At 55.2% G+C, this 24,527-nt stretch overlaps 1 protein-coding gene across 26 annotated transcripts in view, besides 2 other annotated features; it reads left to right on the plus strand.

Annotated features, from left to right (window-relative positions):
* PCBP3 (poly(rC) binding protein 3) overlaps window positions 1-24,527 on the plus strand; it is a 298,726-nt gene that overhangs the window by 264,608 nt on the left and 9,591 nt on the right. For 14 of the 26 annotated variants that reach the window (NR_145492.2, NM_001382284.1, NM_001382286.1 and 11 more), the window contains 6 exons: window positions 1,023-1,154; window positions 2,570-2,698; window positions 5,619-5,693; window positions 9,256-9,297; window positions 21,585-21,663; window positions 22,454-22,513. Coding sequence is in view for 23 of the 26 variants with exons in the window: in NM_001382284.1 (NP_001369213.1) it covers window positions 1,023-1,154; window positions 2,570-2,698; window positions 5,619-5,693; window positions 9,256-9,297; window positions 21,585-21,663; window positions 22,454-22,513 (517 nt within the window). In the remaining 3 variants the exon portion in view is untranslated. 26 annotated transcript variants of the gene reach the window in all.
* Window positions 8,144-8,370: a silencer, noted in NCBI's record as "fragment chr21:47336390-47336616 (GRCh37/hg19 assembly coordinates)". NCBI's record gives its function as "represses an EF-1alpha promoter that drives an FKBP-Casp9 reporter gene in an ReSE screen in phorbol 12-myristate 13-acetate-treated (for megakaryocytic differentiation) K562 erythroleukemia cells {active_cell/tissue: K562(+PMA)}" and the evidence as "EXISTENCE:reporter gene assay evidence [ECO:0000049][PMID:32094911]".
* Window positions 10,843-11,342: an enhancer, noted in NCBI's record as "H3K4me1 hESC enhancer chr21:47339089-47339588 (GRCh37/hg19 assembly coordinates)". NCBI's record gives its function as "activates a minimal SCP1, AML or CMV promoter by ChIP-STARR-seq in naive H9 embryonic stem cells {active_cell/tissue: H9 hESC(naive)}" and the evidence as "EXISTENCE:reporter gene assay evidence [ECO:0000049][PMID:30033119]".

Consider the following 24,527-nt stretch of genomic DNA (forward strand, 5'->3'; position numbering starts at 1 on the left):
ACAGAGCCTCTCCCCAGCCTCACCAGAAAGAACGCTCTGTGTGGGTCAAAGTCAAGCTCTCAGCACAAAAAATAGACAAAGGGGACACCATCCTATTTCCTTGCTAGTCTATAGCAGTTTGTCCAGGCACACACTGGCCAAGCCTTGTTTCTAAGAAGAGGGCACTTTTCGTGGAGAGCAAATCCTGTTGCCCTGAATCGTAACTCAGGCATAATGGATCCAGAGCTGGGGGTGTCCTGGGGGTGCTGCCCTGTCACTGCCTCTGCCGCGCTGTCCGCCACGCTCTGCAGCGAGCTCCGGAGCTGCCCTGTCACTGCCTCTGCCGCGCTGTCTGCCACGCTCTGCAGCGAGCTCCGGGCCACAGCCTGGACACGCCCCATGCGGCTGACAGAAGCCCTGTCCCCCACGGGTTGCCAGCCTGAACCCAAAGCCCAGCTCTGTCTCCTGGGTGTCAGGACCATGAGCCAAACCAGGCTGCCCAGGAGGGTGGGCACAGGCCGCCCCCCACCTCAGCCTTCTCCCGCTTCTACATTAACCACACATCTCCTTCCCTAGGCCAGACACCAGGAGCCATTCTCTGCCCCCGTGCCCTCCACACCCAGTCGTGGCCTGTCCCCGACATCCCTGCCTTACCTGGCTCTGGGCATCAGACCCAGCCCCCAGCTAGTCTCCAGCCTCCATTCTCCCCTCCCCTTAGGCCAGCACCCACACTTCCTGTATCAGCCTGTCTGTCCACACCCCCTTCCCACCAGGTCTCCACGACCAAGGCCAGACCCGCCCCAACCCCACTGCGGCACGGTGACCATCCTGCCTTGCCGTCTGTGTGCCCTGCCAGCCTGCCCATCCATTTCAGCGACGTCTCCTGGTCCTCCCTGGCCTGGCCTGGCCACTTTGTCCTCGGCTGTGCATGACAGGGGCTCTGTGGGCTTCTGAGTGTGGGAAGTCAGGACACACCCCCTGCCCTCCTGCTTTCTCACTGCACGACGCCTGAAGTGCTGCCAACACACGTGTCTCTCCCCTAGGATATCATCAACTCCATGAGCAACAGCCCTGCCACCAGCAAGCCCCCAGTGACGCTGAGGCTGGTGGTGCCTGCCAGCCAGTGTGGGTCCCTGATCGGCAAAGGAGGCTCCAAGATCAAGGAGATCAGGGAGGTAACAGGACCTTCCCAGCCTGGGCCGCTGCGGAGCCTCTAGGCGGGCTGCGGGTGGTGGCCACAGGCCAGGCAGCCTTCCTGAGCCTTGTCCCTGCTGTCTGCAAGCCCAATGCTGGCCACGCAGACCCCACAGCTCAAAGTGCGAGACAGGAACACAGGACCCATGAGCAAGCACAACTGCACTGCAGGGACCCAGCCCACCCACTGCCCAGATACGGACCCGGCCACCCACTGCCCAGATACAGACCTGGCCCACCCACTGCCCAGATACGGACCCCCCCCACCCACTGCCCAGATACGGACCCCCCCCCCACCCACTGCCCAGATACGGACCCGGCCCACCCACTGCCCAGATACGGACCTGGCCACCCACTGCCCAGATACGGACCCGGCCACCCACTGCCCAGATACAGACCCGGCCCACCCACTGCCCAGATATGGACCCCCCCAACCCACTTCCCAGATACGGACCCCCCCACACACACTTCCCAGATACGGACCCCCCTCACCTGCTTCCCAAATATGGACCTGGCCCACCCACTGCCCAGATATGGACCCCCCCCACCACTGCCCAGATACGGACCCCCCCCACCACTGCCCAGATACGGACCCCCCCCCACCCACTGCCCAGATACGGACCCCCCCCACCACTGCCCAGATATGGACCTGGCCCACCCACTGCCCAGATACGGACCCCCCCCACCCACTGCCCAGATACGGACCCCCCACCCACTGCCCAAATATGGGCCCTTTCCACCCACTGCTCACCTATGGATCCTGCCCACCCACTACACTCCTATGGGCCGTGCTGGGGACAGGGAGGAACTAGCTGGTCACATGGTTCTGGGCAAGGGAGGCCCTGGGCACTGGGTGCTGTATCTACTCCCTGTGAGGGGCCTCCAGGGCACCTGGAGACAGCCCTGAGCCATCGGCCTGTCCCAGTGGGCAGAGTTTGCAGATGTGAACTTCACATCCACACGTTTGTCCCATTTCAAGGAAAGCCTGAATCCTTGCCCTATGCAGCAGGGCAGCTGCCCCAATCTTCATTTCCTTTCCCATGACCAGAGTCCACCTTTCTCTGTGACCTAAAACTCCACAGAGGAGAGAGGATTCCGTGTATTTGAAAAGAGTCGTTTGTCTCCCTGAAAATGCCTCTGATTAGATGCCTCCTTGTCTAGCCTTGGCCAGGTGCCAAGTGCGCCCGAGGGAAGGCACAGGGCCGGGTGCCAGGCCGTGGTAGCAGGGGCAGCATGGGGGCAGTGCTGGGATGGCGGTGGGGGAGGGGGCGCGTGGGCTGTATGCAGGTTTCCAAGGAAGTGTCCCCCGAGCTGCCTTGGGTGCCGAGACTCGGGAGGTACTGCTGCCCCATGCGCTGCTACCCTGGTGCTCCCTTCCAATGTCCCCTCTCTCCAGTCCACAGGTGCCCAGGTGCAGGTGGCTGGGGACATGCTGCCCAACTCCACGGAGCGAGCGGTGACCATCTCGGGGACCCCAGATGCCATCATCCAGTGCGTCAAGCAGATCTGTGTGGTCATGCTGGAGGTACCGTCTGCGCGCCAGGGCCAGCCCACGTCAGTGCTGGATTTGGCCTCCCAGCACTGCAGGCAAAGGCTTGGAAGCCCCGGTCGCCCCAAGGACTCACACAGTTGGGGCTGTGGGGGGCTCCTGACCCCAAGTCAGCCTGAGCGAGAGCGGTGCCGGTATGGGCGCCACAGGGGTGCTGGGGCTGCCAGCTCAGGGTCCAGTGTCTTCGTGGGGGCGTCTAGGGGAGAGCATGTGGAGAGGAGGGAGCCTCTCCTCTCATCTTCGGATTTGGGTAAGAAGTTGTCATCCCACTGAGGGGTCTTCTGCACTGAGTTGGAGCTGCAGAAACAGTGCTCTTTACGTTGGAGTCAGGCCTTGGGGGGCAGCTGGGGGTGGGAGGGAGGCAAAGGCAGGAGGCTCCTCTGCGCATGCAGTTCTGCAGAAGGAGGCGTCAAACCACCGTGGAGGAACAGAGGTCAAAACTCGGGAAAACATACAAAACTCATGCAGAAGTAGAGATGGGTGAACAAAAGCATTAAAACGGAAAAGCAGAGAAGAACCCGCTCAGAGCAGACGCCTCTCTTGAAGTTTCGGGGGGAGGAAAAAACTCAGAAGTATACTCAAAATTCATGAAGCTATCAACAGTTGCCAGTCTTTCCTGAAGCAAAAATGAAGAAGCCTCGCCCCAGATGGAAAGTTCTAGCAGCTCTGCAGGGTCAGCCTCCAGCCCCTCCTGCAGCCCAGGCTCACTCCTCTCTCGTACTTGGCTTGGGGTTCAAACCCCATGTTTGACTCTTTAAAAAATGTTTGCGTAGTTGTTGTTTCCCTGAAGTTTGATACTTTGTGAAGTGAAAAATATTTTTCAAAATATTCTTGTTCTGAAATCTTCCCCACTCCCTGGTTAGGGCGAAAGTGCCATGCTGGTCTGAGCTATCTGTTCAACTCTCCAGTCTCAGGCCCTGGAGGCCCTGCGGGCCGAGGCTCAGGAGCAGCCAGTGACACGAACAGTTCTAGGAGGGACATCCCTAATGGAGGGCCGAGGTCCAGCTCCTCAACAACACGTGGGTCTCGTCAGCGTCACCCAGTGCCTCTGCTGCCTGCGTCCCGGTGCAGTGCCAGGTGCAGCTCCACAGATGCAGGTGCACCCGCTGCCCCAAGGCTGCCCATGCCCCCAGAGCCATCATCCGAACCACCCTATCTCCTTCCTGGGCAGGGAGGTTTGAGCAAGACAGGGAGCTCGTAGCAGACATGGCCAGTGAAGATGGCCAGGCAGCTGCTCTCACTCCCGCTGGCTGTGCTGCATCCCAAGTCCCAGGGGCCATCATCCCAGGGAGGAAGATTCATCACACCTGGAAACAGCTGGGTCCGCCCTCAGATGAAGAGTGACTGGAAAAATAAAGCCAAGGATGCCTTAAAGACCCTCCTGGTTGATTGGAGGACTTCTGGGCTTGGTAGTGGGCATGCCTCACCTCACACCCAGGAGATGACGGAGGAAAGGGCTGCCCAGGGTGCCATGAGTCTGGGTGGGGCCTGCTGAGAATACAGACATCGCCACAGATGGTGCCCTGCCCACCCAGGGCCCAGCACCCTGTACCCAGTGCAGGGAGGCTCATGCAGTCCCAGGGGAGGCCAGCAGGCCCTGTGCCCAGAGAAGAAGTGGGAATCACAGGTCAGGGTCAGCTGGGAGCTCCTGTGCCTGGGTGGGGGTCGAGGGCCCATAGCACAGGGGCACTGGCCCGAGGCTGGGCATCTCCAGGAGCCGGGGAGGGCAGCAGCGGCTCCCGTCTACCTCAGTCAGTTCCTCCCACCCCAGGCCCAGCTCAAGTCAGCCCAGACCCGCCCCACATCCCCTTCCCCACAGTACTTGAGGTCACACCCCAGGGCCCTGGCGCTGCGGATCCAGCCACCCACTCCCCATCTTGGGGCTTTGAGTGTGAGTGGCGCTCCCTGAGTGCTGGGCTGGCCCTGAGTCAGCCAAGGCCCCAGAACTCCCAGCAGGACAGGCTGCCCCCTGCCAGGAACGGCTCATGGGCTCCAGCCCCCACCTCTTCCTGCTGGACCAACCCCAGCTGTGGTGCCCCCCAGGCCCAGGACTTCTGCCTCCTTGACCTGGGCCCTGGGGACAGTTAGACAGGGGACTCACCCAGGAGAAGGAGGGCAGGCTAAAAATGCTGGCGCTGGAGAATGTTAATCCTGTGTTTCCGACAGAATACCCAAGGGAAATTAAGGCAAACCTCATCGTAACTATGGGATTTTTTCCTCTGGAGTCTATAAGCACTTTAAACATGCTTTTTCACATAGTGAAGTGAGATGTTTCCAAGTCTCCTGTGGAGATCTCTGCTGACTGTCACCACGGGCCAAGCCAAGCGCTTTGGATATAGGTCCCGGTGGAGTCCTACAGGGCTCAACTTTCTCCAGAACATTCAAGAGAATTGCTCCAAGGGGCAGCTCCCTGTGAAGCCGTGCAGCCAGGCCTGCAGGGCCCTGCGCATCCCAGGAGGGGCCCCGGTGGAGGGGCCAGCACCGCAGGGGGCCGTCTGGGTTGGCGGCCAGCCCTTGTCCAGCAGGGTCTTGTGGGCAAGGGACCCACCCCAGCTGGCCTCCCACAATGGGACTGACTCTCCGCACTGCCACAGAGCCTCCCAGGGATGTTCGGGGCAGGCGGTACTCTCAGGAGGCCGGTGTGTGGCAAACTGCAGCCCAGGGCTCAGCAAAAAGGAGCCCTCTGGAGGGACAGGCCATAAGACAGCCACACAGAGGGTGTGGGGGCTGGAGGTCTTCACTCCCCTCCCCCAGCACTGCTGCGAAACTCGGGGAGGTGTGGGGAGCGTGGAGCTGGTGCAGGGGGCTGAGTGGGGTGGGCCGGGGCACGCCTCCCCATTGCCAGGCTGCGAAGCTGCTCTAACGCTCTCTCTCCCTCTCCTGTCCCTTTTCCTAGTCCCCACCGAAAGGTGCCACCATTCCCTACCGCCCAAAGCCCGCCTCCACCCCTGTCATTTTTGCAGGTGGTCAGGTAAGAGCCGATCCGCTCGCGGCCTCCACTGCCAACCTCAGCCTTTTACTGCAGCACCCGCCGCTGCCCGTTAGTGCACTCAGGTTTTCTCGCCTTCTCACGTGCACGTCTCCCACCCGTGCTGGAGGCAGAGCTCTTCCACCTACACCCAGCACCAGGCGGACGCAGGGGGCCTTCAGAGCGGCATTCCCCCACAGAGACGGCCCCACGGAATCATGTTCTCCCTCCCTGACCCGGGCAGGAAGATCTGGCTCTGCCTAAATCCAGTTCCCAGAACTGGGTGTTTTTAGGAAGCTTAGATAGCCGGCGCGCAGGCGCTTTCTAGGTGATTTTACGTCTCACGTTGGAAACAGCATGGTGAGAACCAGGGTCTTGTTTCCACTGACATCCGTGTTCCCAAACTCCCAGGATGTGCTTGTAGCAGGGACGTGCGAGAGGAGGGAGCTCTGCACTGAGGAAGGATGCATGGCCCGACGACCGGGCGTCTGTGCCGCTGTGTCCGGACCTCCGTCTGCTGTGAGCAGGGGCCTCACAGGCGCCCCATACCCCATACCCAGTCTGCAGATCTGGCTCTTTTGGTTTCAGCCCTTGAGCTCTGTGTTCTCCCGCCAGGGATGGCAGCACCTCTGCAGGAGAGTGGAGGAGGGGAGCCCTGCCCCAGCCCCTCACCTGAGCCCAAACCCTGGCCAGGGCACAGGGAACACCCACCCACTCAGGGCCAGTCTGTGGCCAACAGACTTTGAAGGTGTCCGGCGGGGGTTGGCCTGGAAGAGCTCTGTGTCCAGTCGGCCGTGATGTGTGTCTTTGTTCAAGGGAGAGTTGAGACAGACGTTCCCACAGGTGACCCTGGCAAGGCAGAACAGGCCTGAGGTTTGACTTTACCATCAAAAAGGAGAGAAGGGGCAAATGTTAGCACTTTTCCTGGTGCTTTTCCTTACGGTGTAAAGGAATCTTATCAGATCTCCCAGTTGTGGCCCGTGTTTGAGGGAGAGACAGGGAGTGTGTGTCCATCCCTTCCCTCCCAGGGTCCCGTGTGCTCAGGGCAGGGTATGCCTTTTCCCCACACTGGCCTCGTCTCCACAGCCTGGCACACACCCCTTCCTGTCTTGCTGTGGTCAGGGAGCCCCCACATGCACATGCCATCCTTACAGCAGCCCCAGGGCATGGCACACCCCCATTTTATAGCCAGGAAACTGGGCCTGGCTAGCCAGGGATTTGCCTGGTGTCACAGCCCTGTGGGCAGCAGGACATGTCCTTACCTCGCCGACCTAGGGGGCTCAGGTCACAGGGTCACACGGAGTCACACGGCGGGAGAAGTCCCTGTGCAAAACTCCATTTCGCTGCTTTCCCCAAATTCATGGTTAGGTAACCGGTTTAGTAACCTCTGTGGACTCCACCTTTATGTTTAAACAAATCCATGATGATATCATGTGGTAAAAGGTAGGATTTTTTTCAAAAGGAAGGTGTGTTTATACAAACACATGTGGGGTCTTAAAGCCACTGGGGGAGGAGTCACAGCTCCAGGGAAGAGGGGGTGCAGCTGAGCCCTGCTCAGCCACCGGCCACACACCTCTCACTCCTGTAAAGAAGGCAGTAGCACGCCCTCCCTACTGCAGCAGGTGAAGGGCCCTGTGCAGTGGGTGCTGTCCGAAGGTTGATGCTAGAATGTCAGCCCTTTGAGAGCTGGGCCCTGGGGCCCTGGGGACAGTCTGGTCTGGCCAGTGGTCAGCCTTGGTGGTGGAGGACAGAGTCGCAGGGAGTTACCCACCCTGAAGTAACCCAGGGGAGCTGCCGAAATGCAAACCCAGAAGTGTGGGCCGGATACCTGCAAGGCCACTGGCGTCTCCTTGACGACTCAGACCCACAGTGCCTAGATTAGGACACACAACCCAATACAGACCCTAGAGAGCTAACCTGGAGGGCCCATCCACTTTATTTCTGTCCAGTTGGAGAAATCAGGGACCTGGAAGATGCCCCACCACTGTGAGTGCTCTGGGGGCACCCAGCAGCAGCTCCTGTCAGCCACCACCGCGTTTCTAGCACGACATGGTCGTGAGTTAAATCAGCAGAGCCTGCTAAGGGACGAGCAGATAGAAAACATAACAGTAAGAAGATCAGTCAGAAAACTCGCGTGGCCCAGGATGCAGGATGCTTGAGCTCTTGTGGTTCAGCTCAGACAGTTGGGGCTGACCTGGGACCCCGTGCGCTGAGGGGGCGGCTCCCAGCATGAGTTCCAGGGCCCCTCACCTTCGGTGACACATGGGAACGTGCCTCTGGCAGCACCTTTACAAAACACTTGCAGGTGGCCCTCAAGACACTTTGTACAGGACAGTGAGGTCCTTGGTTCCTGCTCTATCTGATAAGATTCTTTTACTTCCTCAGCTGACGCAGCACTGTGGCCTCACAGCCCTGGGGCTTGTTTCAAAGCTGGGCTGCAGCCGGGTCCCTGTCTGGAGGTTGACTGGCCTTTAACTCCGAGGATTGGGTTGTTTATGATGAAAACTCTTGGCAGATTCAAAACCCATGGGAGGGTTTGGGCTGCACAGAGGTGACACACATCCTTCCCTGAAGTGTCCCTCTCTGGTGCACAGGGTCCCCCCACCCCCACGTGTGGTCACCGCGAACACCGATACCACGGGTCCTCATGGGAAGTGGCGTGGGGCCCGCACAGCCAGGGGCTGGTAGCCGCTCCCTCCACCCCCAGGCTGCCACCAGGCCTGGTGCAGCCCTGTCCATGTCCCGAGTCCTGACAGCTGTTCGTGGTCTTCACTCTCCCTTGACTCTGTGTGGTCCATTTGTTGTCTGGCCATGAGTTTCTGAATCACCTGAAAGCGTCTCCACTGACGGGACCTGTGGGGCAGGTGGGGCCTCTCTCACCTGCCCGGATTTCAGAGTCAGGGTGGGTGGGAAGAGGCTGCAGGTCGGAGTCACTGTTTTGAAGGCGAGGGAAATACTGAAGCCAAAATGAGGCCTCAGGAGCCCCACACGATGGCTTGGGAGGGGTGTATTGCTGCCCCCACGTCAGGAGGGCCACCCCCTCCCTGTCTTCAGGGCGGTCATGAGAGGCAGCAAGCTGTGACTGACGTAGACCCACTTCCTACGTAGACTGGCTTTTGGTGAATTGGTTTTGGTCACCTTTTAGAGCTTTCTTTTGTTGTTTGGACTTCTTGGGGTAAATTATTTCCCAAAAGTATTTACTCAGATGACTGATTAAATTTTCAAAACCGTAATAATTAGTGGAGACCTCTTACTGGGCAGATCACTCTTCGATTCTTTTGCTTTAAGAAACTTGGAGTCGGAAGCATCAAGGCTGAACTGTTTCCCTCCCACCCGCTGAACTGGCCAGCTCAGCTCTGCCCGCCCAGAGGAAGTGGGTGCGGCTCCCCTGGGGCTCCTGGTGCCCTGGGAGGGTTGGCCCTTTGTCCTAGGATGGGGACAGGTGGAGAGGCACACGAGGGGGAAGCTTCTACCGGAGGGTCCTTGTCATGCTGGAGGGTGGCGGCGGGTGCTGAGCCGTGGTGCAGCCAGGTTGCAGTCTGACGGGGTCTCTCTCTCTCTCTAGGCCTACACAATCCAGGGACAGTATGCCATCCCTCACCCGGATGTGAGTCTTCACTTTGTCTTCCTCTCACCTTTCTCTTCTCATGGTTGTTTACCTACCTGCATGCTGCTGTTAATTGCTACTAACATTAATATTACACAATAATATTAATCAACTTCTCAGCGTTCCTGACCTGTGTCGTATCCATATGACCTCGAATAACCTTTTAACCTCTTAGCACTAATTCTGCTTGTGTTGAGGACTTGGCCTGATGTCAAATTGTCTCAATTCTGCCGCAGTCCTGGGTTTTCCTCCCTCCCACGGGGCCTGGGAGGGAACTGAGACGGGCTCTGTCCCCGTGCAGGGCAGTGAGGATGTGCTCACCCGCCACAGGCAGGCGTCAGTGATACTTTCTCTGCGCCTAAGAAGTTGGGTGACATTATCAAACAGGCCACAAAGATACCTTGGCAAGCACATTTGAGGGCCTGGTGAAATTAACTCCCCCTTTCAGAGTCCACATGAAAACATAGGGTCCATCTACACACACAGATCCAGGCTGTGGAAAGCCAGTGGAATAGGCCTTTGTCTTCATTCCAGAATCAGTGGGATGCCAGGCGGGCATAGCGTCCTTGGCTCCGCCCGGGCCATGCGGAGCTGGGTCCCATGCAGCTCCATGACCGGGGGCTCCGACACCTCTTTTCTGCTCCTGCTGGGTCTAGGTGTAATTCCAGTGCTGGAGGAAGAAGTTACCCTCAGATAAACGGTCGGTGTAATTCCAGTGCTGGGGGAAGAAGTTACCCTCAGATAAACGGTCGGTGTAATTCCAGTGCTGGGGGAAGAAGTTACTCTCAGATAAACCGTCGGTGTAATTCCAGTGCTGGAGGAAGAAGTTACTCTCAGATAAACGGTCGGTGTAATTCCAGTGCTGGGGGAAGAAGTTACTCTCAGATAAACGGTCGGTGTAATTCCAGTGCTGGGGGAAGAAGTTACCCTCAGATAAACGGTCGGTGTAATTCCAGTGCTGGGGGAAGAAGTTACCCTCAGATAAACCGTCGGTGTAATTCCAGTGCTGGGGGAAGAAGTTACCCTCAGATAAACCGTCGGTGTAATTCCAGTGCTGGGGGAAGAAGTTACTCTCAGATAAACCGTCGGTGTAATTCCAGTGCTGGAGGAAGAAGTTACTCTCAGATAAACGGTCGGTGTAATTCCAGTGCTGGGGGAAGAAGTTACCCTCAGATAAACCATTGGTGTAATTCCAGTGCTGAGGGAAGAAGTTACCCTCAGATAAACCACTGGTGTAATTCCAGTGCTGGAGGAAGAAGTTACTCTCAGATAAACCGTCGGTGTAATTCCAGTGCTGGAGGAAGAAGATACTCTCAGATCATCCATCGGAGGGGAACCCTGGGCGGCTCTGGGCTGTGCGGCTCAGACCCCTTAGGGGCCAAGAGATAAAAGGTGCAAACTGTGAGCAAAGGGCCTCTCTGGAGGCGGCTTTAGGGCCCCCAGGGAGTGACGGCCGCACTGGCAGGCACTGGGGAGAGGAGAGGGGAGAGCAACAGAGAACGAGAGACAGACGGCCCCACCGGAAGTGCTTCGTGCTGTCAGCAGATGGGGCAAACCTGGAGTTGGTTCTGAGGAGGTTTCTCTTCTCTAAACCATTTTGAACGTTTGCCCAGCTCAGTAGCTGCTCCTCGTAACGCAGTTCCAGTCTGTGTGCTGCTCCCTCTGAACTGCGAGAGGCGCCTCTGAGCTGGTTGGGAGGTGGCCGCCAGGTGAGCGGGCTGCTCCAGAGCCTTCTGCAAACCCTGATGCTTTTGAGTTGGGGGCAAGGACGTCCATCTGAGTGAGATGAGAAGGCAGGTCAGGAGTGTTTTTAAGAGTTAATGAACATTAAATAAATCTTTGATATAGAGATGCAATTTACTATCATTGCAGGAAAATTTATATTGAATGGAGAATAGATAACAATAGTTATTCCATTAAAGGCAACACATGAATCAAATGGTAGAGAAACGCTGATCAAGAAAAGCCTTTCCCCACCTGCCCCAGAGGCCGTTTTTAGTGGTTCCTGGCGTCAGACCTTTGGTGATGCTGCTGTAGCTACATCAAGGACATCTCATCCTGGGGTCAGCTGTAGACACCAGTGCCTGACCCCACTAGGAAGCCGGGCTGTGGCCACCACACACCGGAAGGCACTGTTGGGGCTGCCCCAGCCTGCGCCCAGCAGCAGCGTTGGGCAGAAGCAGAGGTGTGTGTGTGTGTGTGTGTGTGCGCGCGCGCGTGCGCGTCCCCGTGCATGTGTGTGGCAGGGGTGTGGGGGGCAGGTGTGATGTGTCCTAACAGAAAGCCTGTGTGAAGGAAGATGAAGATGGAAGCCAGGGGAGTCAGAGGCGACTTTCTGGGGTGGCCCAGTTCCATTAAGGACTCAGGACAGGTGGTCACGCACATCTAGAGATGCACGTGTGCAGAGGCAGGTTCCAAAGGGGGGGTCACTTGACTTTGCAAAGCTCTGGAACCCAAAGGAAAGGCAGTGTGCGGTGCCCTTGGTAAAGGGAAGGTTAGTCGATGGGGTCAGGGTTTGTGTTTACCCCAGACAGTCGCCCTGAAGTTGGATGCTCAGACCTGCAGGGACCCTCTGGTGACACCTTACGGATTTCCTGTGGCCACAGAGCCTAACGTTCTCACTGTGGCCTTTGGCTGAGCACCCGTCTGAGCCAGAATGCTTGTGGTCTGAAATTTCCAGAGGCCGTGGCTGTGTGCCACGGTGGGACTGCAGGACCCTGATGTTTGGTGATTGGCTTTTACTTCGATTGGTGGCTTTGCTCTTTCTCATGTGACTTTCTCAGTATCTCTTAGAAATGGGTAGTTGTGCAGATTGTTTCAAATTAGTTTAATGTATAACTAACTGTTAAGAGAACTGCCTCAGTGCATGTGGTAATGATTTGAGATACCTGGTGCTATGGTTTAAATATGTCTATTCCTCCACAATTTCTCTGTTGGAACCTAATCACCAAGGTGACAGTATTAGAGGGTGGGGGGTCCCAGGGCTGGGGAGTGATTGGGTCATGAGCGCTCCACCCTCGTGAACAGCATTGGTGCCCCTATAACAGAGGCCTCAGATAACAGAGGCTTCAGATAACAGAAGCTTCAGAGAGTGGCCTCCCCTCCATCCCTCCTGTCATGTGAGGACAAGAGCGTTCAGGCACCATATTGAAAGCAGAGACTTGGCCCTTCCCATACACCAAACCAGCCAGCACTTTGATCTCCAGTTTCCAGCCCCCATAACTGTGAGCCACACATTTATGCTGTTTCTGAATTGCCCGGTCTAAGGCATTTTGTCATAGCAGCAGGAGTGGACTAAGGCGCTTGGTTCTTTACTGTGAAGTATCTCTCTGTGGAAGACATTCTGTTTCTACATCGGTGTCATGAGATTTGCAGAGCAGCTGTTATTAATAGAAGACTGGAAGCTTCCATGGTGCTTTTCTTGCAGGCGTGTAAAATTGAAGACTTGGACAATCACTTAATCATTAAACACAAAAATAAAATGATTGTTTAGTGACATAGGTAACAATAGTCAGGAAGCAATTTGTATCTGAGCTTGGTATTTAGTAGAAATTTTTAAAGCATCGGTATTTAGTAGAAATTTTTAAAGCTTCAATTTCTTACTATATCAATATAATTATAGAATATGTTGTTTTAATTTATAATGTAATTGAATACAAAGTTTATTTATACCACAGTGCCGGCTTATATACAGATACTAGAGTCATTTTTTAGGAACGTGATATTTGACCTGGATGTGTGGGCCCATGAATAAGAAACATCAAGCATAAGAAAATACATTCCTTAGGTTTGAGTATTTCTTTATGTAAAACTAAAATATGCATGTGTTTTCTGTGCCCAGTTTTAAAAAGTGTTTTTAGCTTGTTCTTATTTAAGAATCATCTGGGCTGGGCATGGTGGCTCAGGCTGGGTGTGGTAGCTCAAGCCTGTAATCCCAGCCCTTTGGGAGGCTGAGGCAGGTGGATCGCTTGAGCTCAGGAGTTTGAGACAAGCCTGGCCAACATGGCGAGACCCCGTCTCTACCAAAAATACAAAAAAATTTAGCCAGACGTGGTGGCACACGCCTGTAGTCCCAGCTACCCGGGAGGCTGAGGCGAGAGGATTGCCTGAGCCCGGGAGGTGGAGGTTGCAGTGAGCCAAGATCATCCCTCTGCACTCCAGCCTGGGCGACAGAACGAGACCCGTTTCAAAAAAAAAAGGAGTCATCGGCACTGATCTGCCTTCGCCTGCTTTTCTCCAGCTCCTCACACGCCACATGCATCATTTTACCCACGTCCTCCTCGAGGCTTACTGTGCTCTGGATGTGCAGGTGTTTTGAAGAGGCACAGAGCTGCTCGACAGGGTGAAGGACTTAGGAGGACTGAAGTCAGGCTCTCCAGTATGGCCACTCGGCAGCCCTGGAGACTATCCATGTGCCTCTGTGTGTCCTGCCTGGGTCAGACCAAGTGCAGTTTCAGAAATGAGAAAGAGAAACAGCACCTGAGACCTGGGACCTGAGAGCAGAGCCGAGAGCGCCCACACCTGGACAGACTGCTTGACTCTCACCCAGCACGTCTGCACCTTTAATTACAGCGGGGAAGTTACACCAGGAAGGAATTGTTTTTTCTGGAAGAAATGAGTGAACTTCAAAAATACCCTCATAGGCCAGGTACAGTGGCTCTCTCCTGCGATCCCAGCACTTTGAGAGGCCAAGATGGGAGGATTGCTTGAGCCCAGGAGTTGGAGACCAGGTTGGACAAAAGAGCAAGACCCCATTTCTACAAAAAAATACAGAAATTAACTGGGTGTGGTGGCACACACCTGGAGTCCCAGCTACTCAGGAGGCTAAGGTGGGGCAGTTACCTGAGCTCCGGCAGTCGAGACTGTAGTGAGCAGAGATTGCACCACTGCACTCCAGCCTGGGCGACAGAGCAAGACCCTGTCTCAAAAAAAGAAAAAATACCCTCATATATACAAATCTTTATTTCTAGTCTTCCAGCTCTCCTAATCACTCCCTTACTTAACGTCCCCATCATTTAAAGGGGATGTTGAAAGCAAGCAAAAATAAAAACATGTTAGAGTTGACGAAGAGTTTGCCATGTAGGCGATTTTAGATGAGCCTTTGCACCAACCCTGTGAGGCAGATCTCAGGACCGTGGGGCCAGTTCCACACACGAGGAAGTGGAAGCTCTGAGAGGTGCCTTGGCCAGAGCTAATGAGCCAGGGAATGGGAGGGCTTGGCACAGCCGCCCAGGCAGCTGGACGTGAGTGGCAGATGTGCAGCAACGCTGGGAATCAAGCGGACACCAGTGTCTACTAAGAAGCTGGTTCTTCAGTGAAAGAGTCGTGGGGAAATTGTAGAAATGTGTCGTTGTAAGTGGGAGCCAGGGATGGGAGGCACGACCAGATCCTGTGCTGGATGCGGCCCTTCATCCCAGCTGTGCAATCCCCGGGACTCTGTCGGTGCCACGCATTTCCCCTGGACACATGAAGGGCACGCGTGGGCTCTTGTGACAATCTCATGCACTTGCAGAGATTTGGGCAGATTGTTGCAGAGTGCTTTCTCCTCCCACTTGTTCTGTGTCTCCCTCTGGAACCCTGTGGGGAGGTGGGTGAGGGGTCCCCTCACTGTAGTGAGAGAGTAGTCAATGCCGCATGCTCTGGGCACATGCCGAGGGGCCCAGCCTCTCTCACTCTGAAGCCTGGCACCTTCCAAGACCTTGCAGCTGCAAGTGGTGCAGCGGCTTGCCCATGGCCCCACCTGCTGTCAGAGCTGTGCTACTGCAGCCACTCCTTTCATGAAACAAGAGGCCCAGGCAACCCTCACTGCTGGCTGGAGTTCCATCTTTCCTTGCTTGGAACACCGCACCCTCTGCAGGGCCCCAGTGGCACGGCTCTCACATGCTGTTCCTCCCAGCTTGCCCTTCTCAGAACGAGACTTTGCATCTTTACAGGACCCTCGGGCGACTCACTGGCCCGTGGAGGTCTGAGAAACACTAGTCAGGAGGCCTGAGAAGGAAGAACATGCATCCAGTTGGAAGCCCAGGGGAGACATGGAATGGAGAGAGAAAATTCCAAGAGACACACAGAGAACCTTCCAAAATTAGAGAAACCATCAACAATTCCCAAACAGGATAAACAAATAATACAAATAAACTCGACCTGGAACAGTTGAGTGGATAGAAACAGCACACGTAAGATCGGGTGTGCACGAGGAGATGCGAACACCGGGAACAGTCGAGTGGGTAGAAACAGCACACGTAAGATCGGGTGTGCACGAGGAGATGCGAACACCGGGAACAGTCGAGTGGGTAGAAACAGCACACGTAAGATCAGGTGTGCACGAGGAGATGCGAACACCGGGAACAGTCGAGTGGATAGAAACAGCACACGTAAGATCGGGTGTGCACGAGGAGATGCGAACACCGGGAACAGTCGAGTGGGTAGAAACAGCACACGTAAGATCGGGTGTGCACGAGGAGATGTGAACACCGGGAACAGTCGAGTGGGTAGAAACAGCACACGTAAGGTCGGGTGTGCACGAGGAGATGTGAACACTGGGAACAGTCGCGTGGGTAGAAACAGCACACGTAAGGTCGGGTGTGCACGAGGAGATGTGAACACTGGGAACAGTCGCGTGGATAGAAACAGCACACGTAAGATCGGGTGTGCGTGAGGAGATGCGAACACCGGGAACAGTCGCGTGGGTAGAAACAGCACACGTAAGATCGGGTGTGCGTGAGGAGATGCGAACACCGGGAACAGTCGAGTGGATAGAAACAGCACACGTAAGATCGGGTGTGCACGAGGAGATGCGAACACCGGGAACAGTCGCGTGGGTAGAAACAGCACACGTAAGATCGGGTGTGCGTGAGGAGATGCGAACACCGGGAACAGTCGAGTGGATAGAAACAGCACACGTAAGATCGGGTGTGCGTGAGGAGATGCGAACACCGGGAACAGTCGAGTGGATAGAAACAGCACACGTAAGATCGGGTGTGCGTGAGGAGATGCGAACACCGGGAACAGTCGAGTGGGTAGAAACAGCACACGTAAGATCGGGTGTGCGTGAGGAGATGCGAACACCGGGAACAGTCGAGTGGATAGAAACAGCACACGTAAGATCGGGTGTGCACGAGGAGATGTGAACACCGGGAACGGTCGAGTGGGTAGAAACAGCACACGTAAGATCGGGTGTGCGTGAGGAGATGCGAACACCGGGAACAGTCGTGTGGGTAGAAACAGCACACGTAAGATCGGGTGTGCACGAGGAGATGTGAACACCGGGAACAGTCGAGTGGGTAGAAACAGCACACGTAAGGTCGGGTGTGCGTGAGGAGATGCGAACACCGGGAACAGTCGTGTGGGTAGAAACAGCACACGTAAGATCGGGTGTGCACGAGGAGATGCGAACACCGGGAACAGTCGAGTGGGTAGAAACAGCACACGTAAGATCGGGTGTGCGTGAGGAGATGCGAACACCGGGAACAGTCGCGTGGGTAGAAACAGCACACGTAAGATCGGGTGTGCGTGAGGAGATGCGAACACCAGGAACAGTCGAGTGGGTAGAAACAGCACACGTAAGGTCGGGTGTGCGTGAGGAGATGCGAACACCCGCAGGTCTCTGTCTCATTCCACTAGAGGGAGAAGACACTGAGTGTAGACTCTCAACGCACATGTTAAAGTTTCAATGACCACTAACAACAAAGAAGTCCGATATGTAACCTCTGTGACAGGAAACAAGTGAGGGGAAAAATTATTAATCCAACAGAAGAAAAGGAGTGAAATAAAAAAGAAACTCTGGAAAAGCAGGACAATTAGAAAACAAGTGTCAAAAATTAGTCTAAATATGTGGATGATTGTGATCAAAGTAAAATTATGAAATTCCAGTTAAGAAGCAAAGGCTGCCAGACTATATTTTTAAGCTGAACAAATAGGCAAGCAAACAAGCAAAAAATAATTTTTTTGTTTTTTTTTCTTTCAAGAGACACACCTAAAGCATAAGAACCCAGAAAAAATGAAAGAATGGGAAAAGGCTAAGGAATATGCAACAAAATCAGCTGGTGTACCAATATTAACATCAGTAGGGGGAAAAAAACAAGACTTTAAGAGAAAAACTTTACTCATTACATGTTGATAGAAAATTCAGCTCACAAGAAGATATAATTCAAAATTTATACGTGCCTAAAACATAGCTTTAAAATATATTTTAAAAATTGACAAAACATAGATAATTTGACAGACATTATAGCAAAAACTTGGCACACCTCTCTTTCCATGAGTGATAGGCCAAGTAGACAAGTGTGAAGAAGGCATCAACAGAACCACCCGTGATCCTGACGTGATTGCCGTACCTCGAACGTTACACCTGCCACAGCTGTAGAATTCATGGAGACATTTACAAAACCTCATCACATACCAGCCCATAAAGCACATCTCATCATCTTTCAAAAATTGGAATCGTATCGACCACACTCTCTTAGCACAAAGCAATTGCAGTCATGCACCACATGACGGTTCAGCCAACATCAGACCACACAGACGATGGTGATGCCATGAGAGTATAGTGGAGCTGAGAAATTCCTGTTGCCTGGTGACCTTGCAGCTGACCTGAGGTTGCAGTGCAGCACGTTACCCCCACGTGTGCTGCTGGTGCAAACCCACTGCACTGCCAGCCGTCTAGCCATCTAGCACCTGCCGTTAAGCACAGCTCGTCATTCTAAATGACGCTGATAAACAACTGTGTTACTGGTTTGTGTATTACTATGCTTTTTATCATTATTTTAGTGTATTCCTTCTAATTATCTAAAAAATGTTAGCTGTAAAACAGCCTCAGGCAGGTCCCGCAGGAGGTGTCCAGAAGGAGGCACTGTGATCATCGGAGATGACTATGTCAAACGGTGTGGTTTTGGTGCAGTGGGAGACAAGTAGACTGGATCAGACATGAGAGCCCAGGATCCCTCACACAGGAAGGAAGCCGTCTATGAGACTTGGACAGGACAGAGCTGCCCACGAGAGCCTGGGAGAGGGCAGATGCTCCACACAGTGCCAGGACGGTGGGTCAACCACGTGGGGAAATTGATCTTTACTTCCTGCCATAAACAAAAATCATTTCCCATGTGTCAAGAACTCCAACACAAGACAGAAGAATTTAGCAGTTTTAGGAGAAAATATAGAAGAATGTCCTATTCTGAGATCAGGGGACGATTTCTTAAAACGTAAGCACAGACTGTAAAGGAAAATACTGGTGAGTTCAACTTTGTGAAATGTTGGAATACTGTTTCTCATAAGACACCATGGGAGAGCGGGGAGAAGATCTGTGCAGCAGGAGTGACAGACAGGATGGCATCTGAAATGCTGGGGTGCTCTTGAGAAGTCAGCAAAAATCAAGCAATAAGAAACATGGGCGAATGACAGAAACAGACATTTTGCTGGAGATGAAATAGAATGCAGGTTAGAACCACTGTGCTGGGGGCCTGTTTCTTGGCCTGAGTGATAGTTGTATGGGTGCATTCATTTTGTGATCATTCATTGAGTTGCATCTTAAATGCTTGTAATTTTAGTAGTTGTCTATGTGTTACATTCTGAAACAATGTGAAATAGAAAAGACAGTTTACAGAGAAACATCAGTAATGGGATACATCCCCTGCCCATCCTCCTACCCTCCTCTCCCTCCCTCTCCCCCTCCTCCCTCCCCTCCCCTTCCTCCCTCTCCCCCTACATCCTCCCCTCCTCTCCCTCCCTCCCTCTCGCCTGCCTACCTGACTTTCTTCCTCTTTCCTCTCAGTGGTTTGGAGGTACTGGTGAGAACCAAAAGCCTCATTTTTTCAACAGGGCAGAATTTTCCCAAAAAGTGGAAGGCCCCTTGGCACTTAGTCCTGTTCTCTCCTTTAAAAAATGTGGAAATTGAGTCCAAACGAGGTGCAGTGGCCTGACTGATCCCGGGCAGAGCTAGGGTGAGCACCCGCCCATCCTCTCCACAGATGCTCCCCCAGCACCGCCCAGTGCTAGTCCAGGCCTCCCTAGGACGTCCCCTACATTTGTAGGTGGGGAGAAGAGAGATTTGTTTGCTAGTGTGGTCATTTCATCATAAAAAGCCCAAAACGTATCAGGAGACATTTTTGTCATCCGCAGCCACAGCTGCTGCTCACTCACATCCATTCCCCCACTTTATAGTCAAGGAACTGAGGCCTGGAGACACCAGGCCTTCCTGTCGCCACGGCCACAAGCTGAGCCATCTTGGAGCCGACTCCAACCCCTGTAGAGCCCAGGGAGCGCCCCTCCCCGTGCCCCATTCCCTGGCCATGGGGCAGCTCCTGAGCCCCACTAGGAGTCGGGGGTTTGCGGATCCCATCTGTGCCATTCAGCGTCCTGTGGCTGTGGATGAATTTGCCAGGAGTGTCTCACCCCGCCGTGGGCGATCTTGCCTGCAGCTCTCCTACCCGGCCTGGGACACTTGCGGTCTTTCCTGACGTGCCCCGTCCAGGTGGGGCGCCTTCACTAGGACCCCAGATGCGCCTGCTTCCTCCTCCTGCCCCCGCAGGGCCTCGTGTATCTCCGGGAGGTAGACTGTCCCGGTGACTTCAGCTGGTGTCCTTGGGACAGGATGTCCCCCACAAGCTCTCCTGGCACCCTCGTCAGGGGCTTCCACACACATCCCCTCAGATAACCCGGCACACCCGTTCACGTTACATCATGGGGCAGCGCAGATGCCACAATGCCCTGCCCCCCAGCCCAGACCTGGCTGCAAGGCCAGGGGTTGGGGAGGGGCAGGGCTGGGGAGCAGGCCCCCCGATCCTCCCAGGGTACTAGGTACTGAGGAAGGAAGGGCCTTTATCTTGACTCTGGGTGAACTCTTAGGGGAGGGCTCCCAGCTCCTGAGAGGCCAAGTTCAAACCCACCCAGGAGCACACAGCTGGGAAGGCGCTGGGACCACAGTCGCCGCATTCCTGACTGTGCTCCCTGGTGTCAGGGAACCCAGGTGCCAGGGGTGGCCAGGGCAAGCATGGGGGTCTGGTCAGGTGCTCAGCAGCCGGCCTTCTCACGTGCAGATGGCAGCTCTGCTCCGAGCGCCCACACCCCCCAGCATTGGTGGCCTCTGTGGCAGCTTCTGCCACCCATACCCTGTGCAGTGAGGAAGCTGAGGTGCCTGCCTGGCTGTGGGTCGCAGGAGTCCACACACAGCCACGCTGGGATTTATTTGGGTTGAATGTTCTGAAGGGAAAATGCTGGGGAGGTGGTGCCCTCCCCAAATGTGCCACCTCCCCTGCCTGCTGGGCAGCACCACAGAGGAGCTTTGCCCAGGGTCCTCCTGAGCCCCAGGACACCCTCTGCAGCACCCAGCCTTGACAGCCCCACTGGAGGCCTGTGGCTCCTGGGAAAGCCAGGCCTGAGGAGCACCATGCCCTCTGCTGAGCAGCCCTGGGCTCTCCAAAGGGTGGAAGAATTATGAGCCTCACCTTGCCACGTTTACCATTATCTTCTGCTATTTTTAGTTTTTATTTAAGAAATGAGGCTCAGGTAAAATAACTTTAAAAATGGCATCAAAGCCCCCTTGAAAAGTCTTGTGGCCCGAGGATGGGAGGAGAAGGGCTGGGGGCAGCCTGCAGGGACCGGGGACACAGGCGGCTCCCAGCTGAGGGCCCGAGGCGTCCCTCCCTCATGCCTTCCACAGAACCTTCTAGCACTAGTGTTCTGTAATCCCAGGAAAGGCAAGACGCTTCTGGAGGTGACTAAAAGGCAGATGTGTGGCCCCTCAGGTGTTCCCCCCACCCCAGGTCACCTCATGGGTAAAGCAAGGCCCTGCAGGGGAGGGGAGTGGGCCAGGCCTAGCACAGGGTGAGACCAGGGCGAGGTTTGCAAACTCATGCCTCTGTGGATCCCACAGGGGCTAGGCTGATTTTAGTGACTAGTGACTCGGCCTTGAATCTCCTAGAAGTGCAGCTGGTCTTCATCTGTGGCTCCTGGACTCCCCCAGACTCTCCATGGCCCACTGGCCCCAGCCTCCTGTCCACACCAGCTGGTGAGAGGGAGGCTGGGCCGGTCTAGGCTGGAGCTGCCGGGGAGCCAGGGAGAGAAGACAGCGGCTTCCGGAGCTGCCTTCTGCACGCCGGGCATTGGCCTGCTCACAGCCTGGACTCCATTGGCTTCCCCCAGGCCAAGTCCTTGCGTTCTCTTGCATCTGCCATGTGTCCGCATGGCCCTCTTTCTATCTATCTGTGCAAAGTTCTGTTACTGCCGTTTTAATTTGGTGTGACTTGTACTCGATGACAATAACCTTCTTAGCTCTCGTGTCCCTCCTACCCCAGCAGTTGACCAAGCTCCACCAGTTGGCCATGCAGCAAACCCCCTTTCCTCCCCTCGGACAGACCAACCCCGCTTTCCCCGGTACGTACCCAGCCCTTTTCTCACCTCCTTCTCTTCTCACCTGGGGACTTTCTCTTTCTGAGCTGTGTTATTCGGTGCAGTGCATAGAACAGGTGCAGTTGGATTTGTGAGTGCCGGTGCTGCGGCGTTCACATGCAGCAGGCTTGCTGGGGCTGGGGCCGGGGACAGGGTGGGGGCGGGAGGTGGGTCTCGCTCCCACTGTTGGGGGCTGGTTCACCTTACAGCTGGCCTTGCCATAGCCTTGCTTGTGAAGAGACGTCTGCCCACCGAGGGTCTGCACTTGCTGGGCAGTGCCCTGTGCTGCCCGCAGTCTGTCCTGGGTGGCCCTTCCTGCTGAGCGTACCCACTGGGCCGCCCTGGAGGCTTTTCTCTCCAGGAGCAAGAGCACAGCTGACGTGGATGCTCTTCTGCAGGAAGCCACTGCGTATCCCAAGGTGGCACCCAGCCCTGCCCCAGGAGAGCAGTGACCCGAGTCAGCCCTAGCCCAGTCGCTGTCATGAGGCCATCAAGGGTGGCCATCCGTGGCAAGCCCACCCTGCCCCTGGCATGCCTGGCAGTTGGGTGTCCCTCCCTGCAGAGGCAGCGCCATGCCTGTGGACAACCCCCCTCTCCCCCTGGCGTGCCTGGCAGCTAGGTGTCCCTCCCCACAGAGGCAGTGCCATGCCTGTGGCTGTGGCCAGAGAGAGCGCCGGTGCGTGCGCCAGTCATATTTTGAGCTTCCCTAGTTGAAGGGACCCTGCTTATCTCCTTGAGGGCAAAACATTAAACCTGTCTCTTCTTTGCTCTCCAGGAGAAAAGCTGCCTTTACACTCCTCCGAAGAAGCTCAAAATCTGATGGGCCAGTCATCAGGTAACACAAAGCCACACTGACAGGAGAACAGGCCAGGGCAGCAGAGCAGAGCCCCAGTGGGAGGAGGTGTGGGGGCCCTGCCGCTGCAGCAGTTTCCAGCTTCCATGGGAGGCTGTGGGCCAGCCTCAGGTGCTGCCAAGGGCGTGGGTGGTGCCATGCTGCCACTGTGGCTGGATGGTGGGGCCTGAGGTGCTCAGAGCAGGGCACCCCGGCCATGGGAGGCGGCCGTGGGAGCAGGAAATAGAGGTCTCACCATGGTGTGCTTTGGAAATGGGTTTTGTAGGACTACAAGCAAACCCTTAAGGAGGAAGATCAGTCTGTGCTGGATTTGCCTGCACCCCTCCCGACTTGCATTAAAATGTTCATTCCTCAGATACTGTGGGGTAGCACATAGATTTGTAGATTCAGTGACCAAGGCCATGAAACAGACACAGTTGTTTGCCTGGGGCTTAGCAGGTTCCTAGGTGCCCGTGAAGAAGATGCCACACACGCACCACACCTTGTGGCTCCATGTGCACATGGCCGGTGCCACAGTGGCTTCCTGGTGGCCAGGCAGGTGTCCTGTAATGACCCTCCCCTCACCAAGGCCCTGAGGACTGCAGTGCACACACATGCCAGCCACAGCAGGGTTAAATTGGGTGGGCAGCGATGGGAGGTGTTTGTGGCCTCTTTGAATGCTGCGGCCAGGAGACTTCCAGCGTGGGCTTGGACTGCAGGTTGGGGCAGCCTCCTTTACCCCTGGTACCTGGAATGTCGTCATCTTCATAAGAAACAGACTCACCTGGGCCGTGCTGTCCTGAGATGAGTGAACACGTCGGCCATGCCGTCCTGAGATGAACAAACACGTCGGCCATGCTGTCCTGAGATGAACAAACACGTCGGCCGTGCCGTCCTGAAATGAATGAACACATCAGCCATGCTGTCCTGAAATGAATGAACACATCGGCCATGCTGTCCTGAGATGAATGAACACCTGGGCCATGCCGTCCTGAAATGAATGAACACGTCGGCCATGCCGTCCTGAGATGAATGAACACATCGGCCATGCTGTCCTGAGATGAACAAACACCCGGGCCATGCTGTCCTGAGATGAACGAACACCCGGGCCATGCTGTCCTGAGATGAACGAACACCTGGGCCATGCTGTCCCGAGATGAATGAACATGTCGGCCGTGCCGTCCTGAGATGAATGAACACAACGGTCATGCTGTCCTGAGATGAATGAACACCTGGGCCATGCCATCCTGAAATGAATGAACACATTGGCCATGCTGTCCTGAGGTGGATGAACACCTAGTCCATGCCATCCTGAGATGAATGAACACATCAGCCATGCCGTCCCGAGATGAATGAACACATCGGCCATGCTGTCCTGAGATGAACGAACACCTGGGCCTTGCCGTCCTGAGATGGATGGACACCTGGTCCATGCCGTCATGAGATGAATAAACACATCAGCCAAGCTATCCTGAGATGAATGAACACATCAGCCATGCTGTCCTGAGATGAGTGAACACCTGGTCCATGCCATCCTGAGATGAATGAACACATCGGCCATGCCGTCCTGAGATGAATGAACACATCGGCCATGCTGTCCTGAGATGAACAAACACCTGGGCCATGCTGTCCTGAGATGAACGAACACCTGGGCCATGCCGTCCTGAGATGAACGAACACGTCGGCCATGCCGTCCTGAGATGAACGAACACCCGGGCCATGCTGTCCTGAGATGAACGAACACCTGGGCCATGCTGTCCCGAGATGAATGAACACGTCGGCCGTGCCGTCCTGAGATGAATGAACACAACAGTCATGCTGTCCTGAGATGAATGAACACCTGGGCCATGCCATCCTGAAATGAATGAACACATTGGCCATGCTGTCCTGAGGTGGATGAACACCTGGTCCATGCCATCCTGAGATGAATGAACACATCAGCCATGCCGTCCCGAGATGAATGAACACATCGGCCATGCTGTCCTGAGATGAACGAACACCTGGGCCTTGCCGTCCT

The sequence above is a fragment of the Homo sapiens genome, chromosome 21, assembly GCF_000001405.40.
Source record: "Homo sapiens chromosome 21, GRCh38.p14 Primary Assembly".
Lineage (NCBI taxonomy): Eukaryota > Metazoa > Chordata > Mammalia > Primates > Hominidae > Homo > Homo sapiens.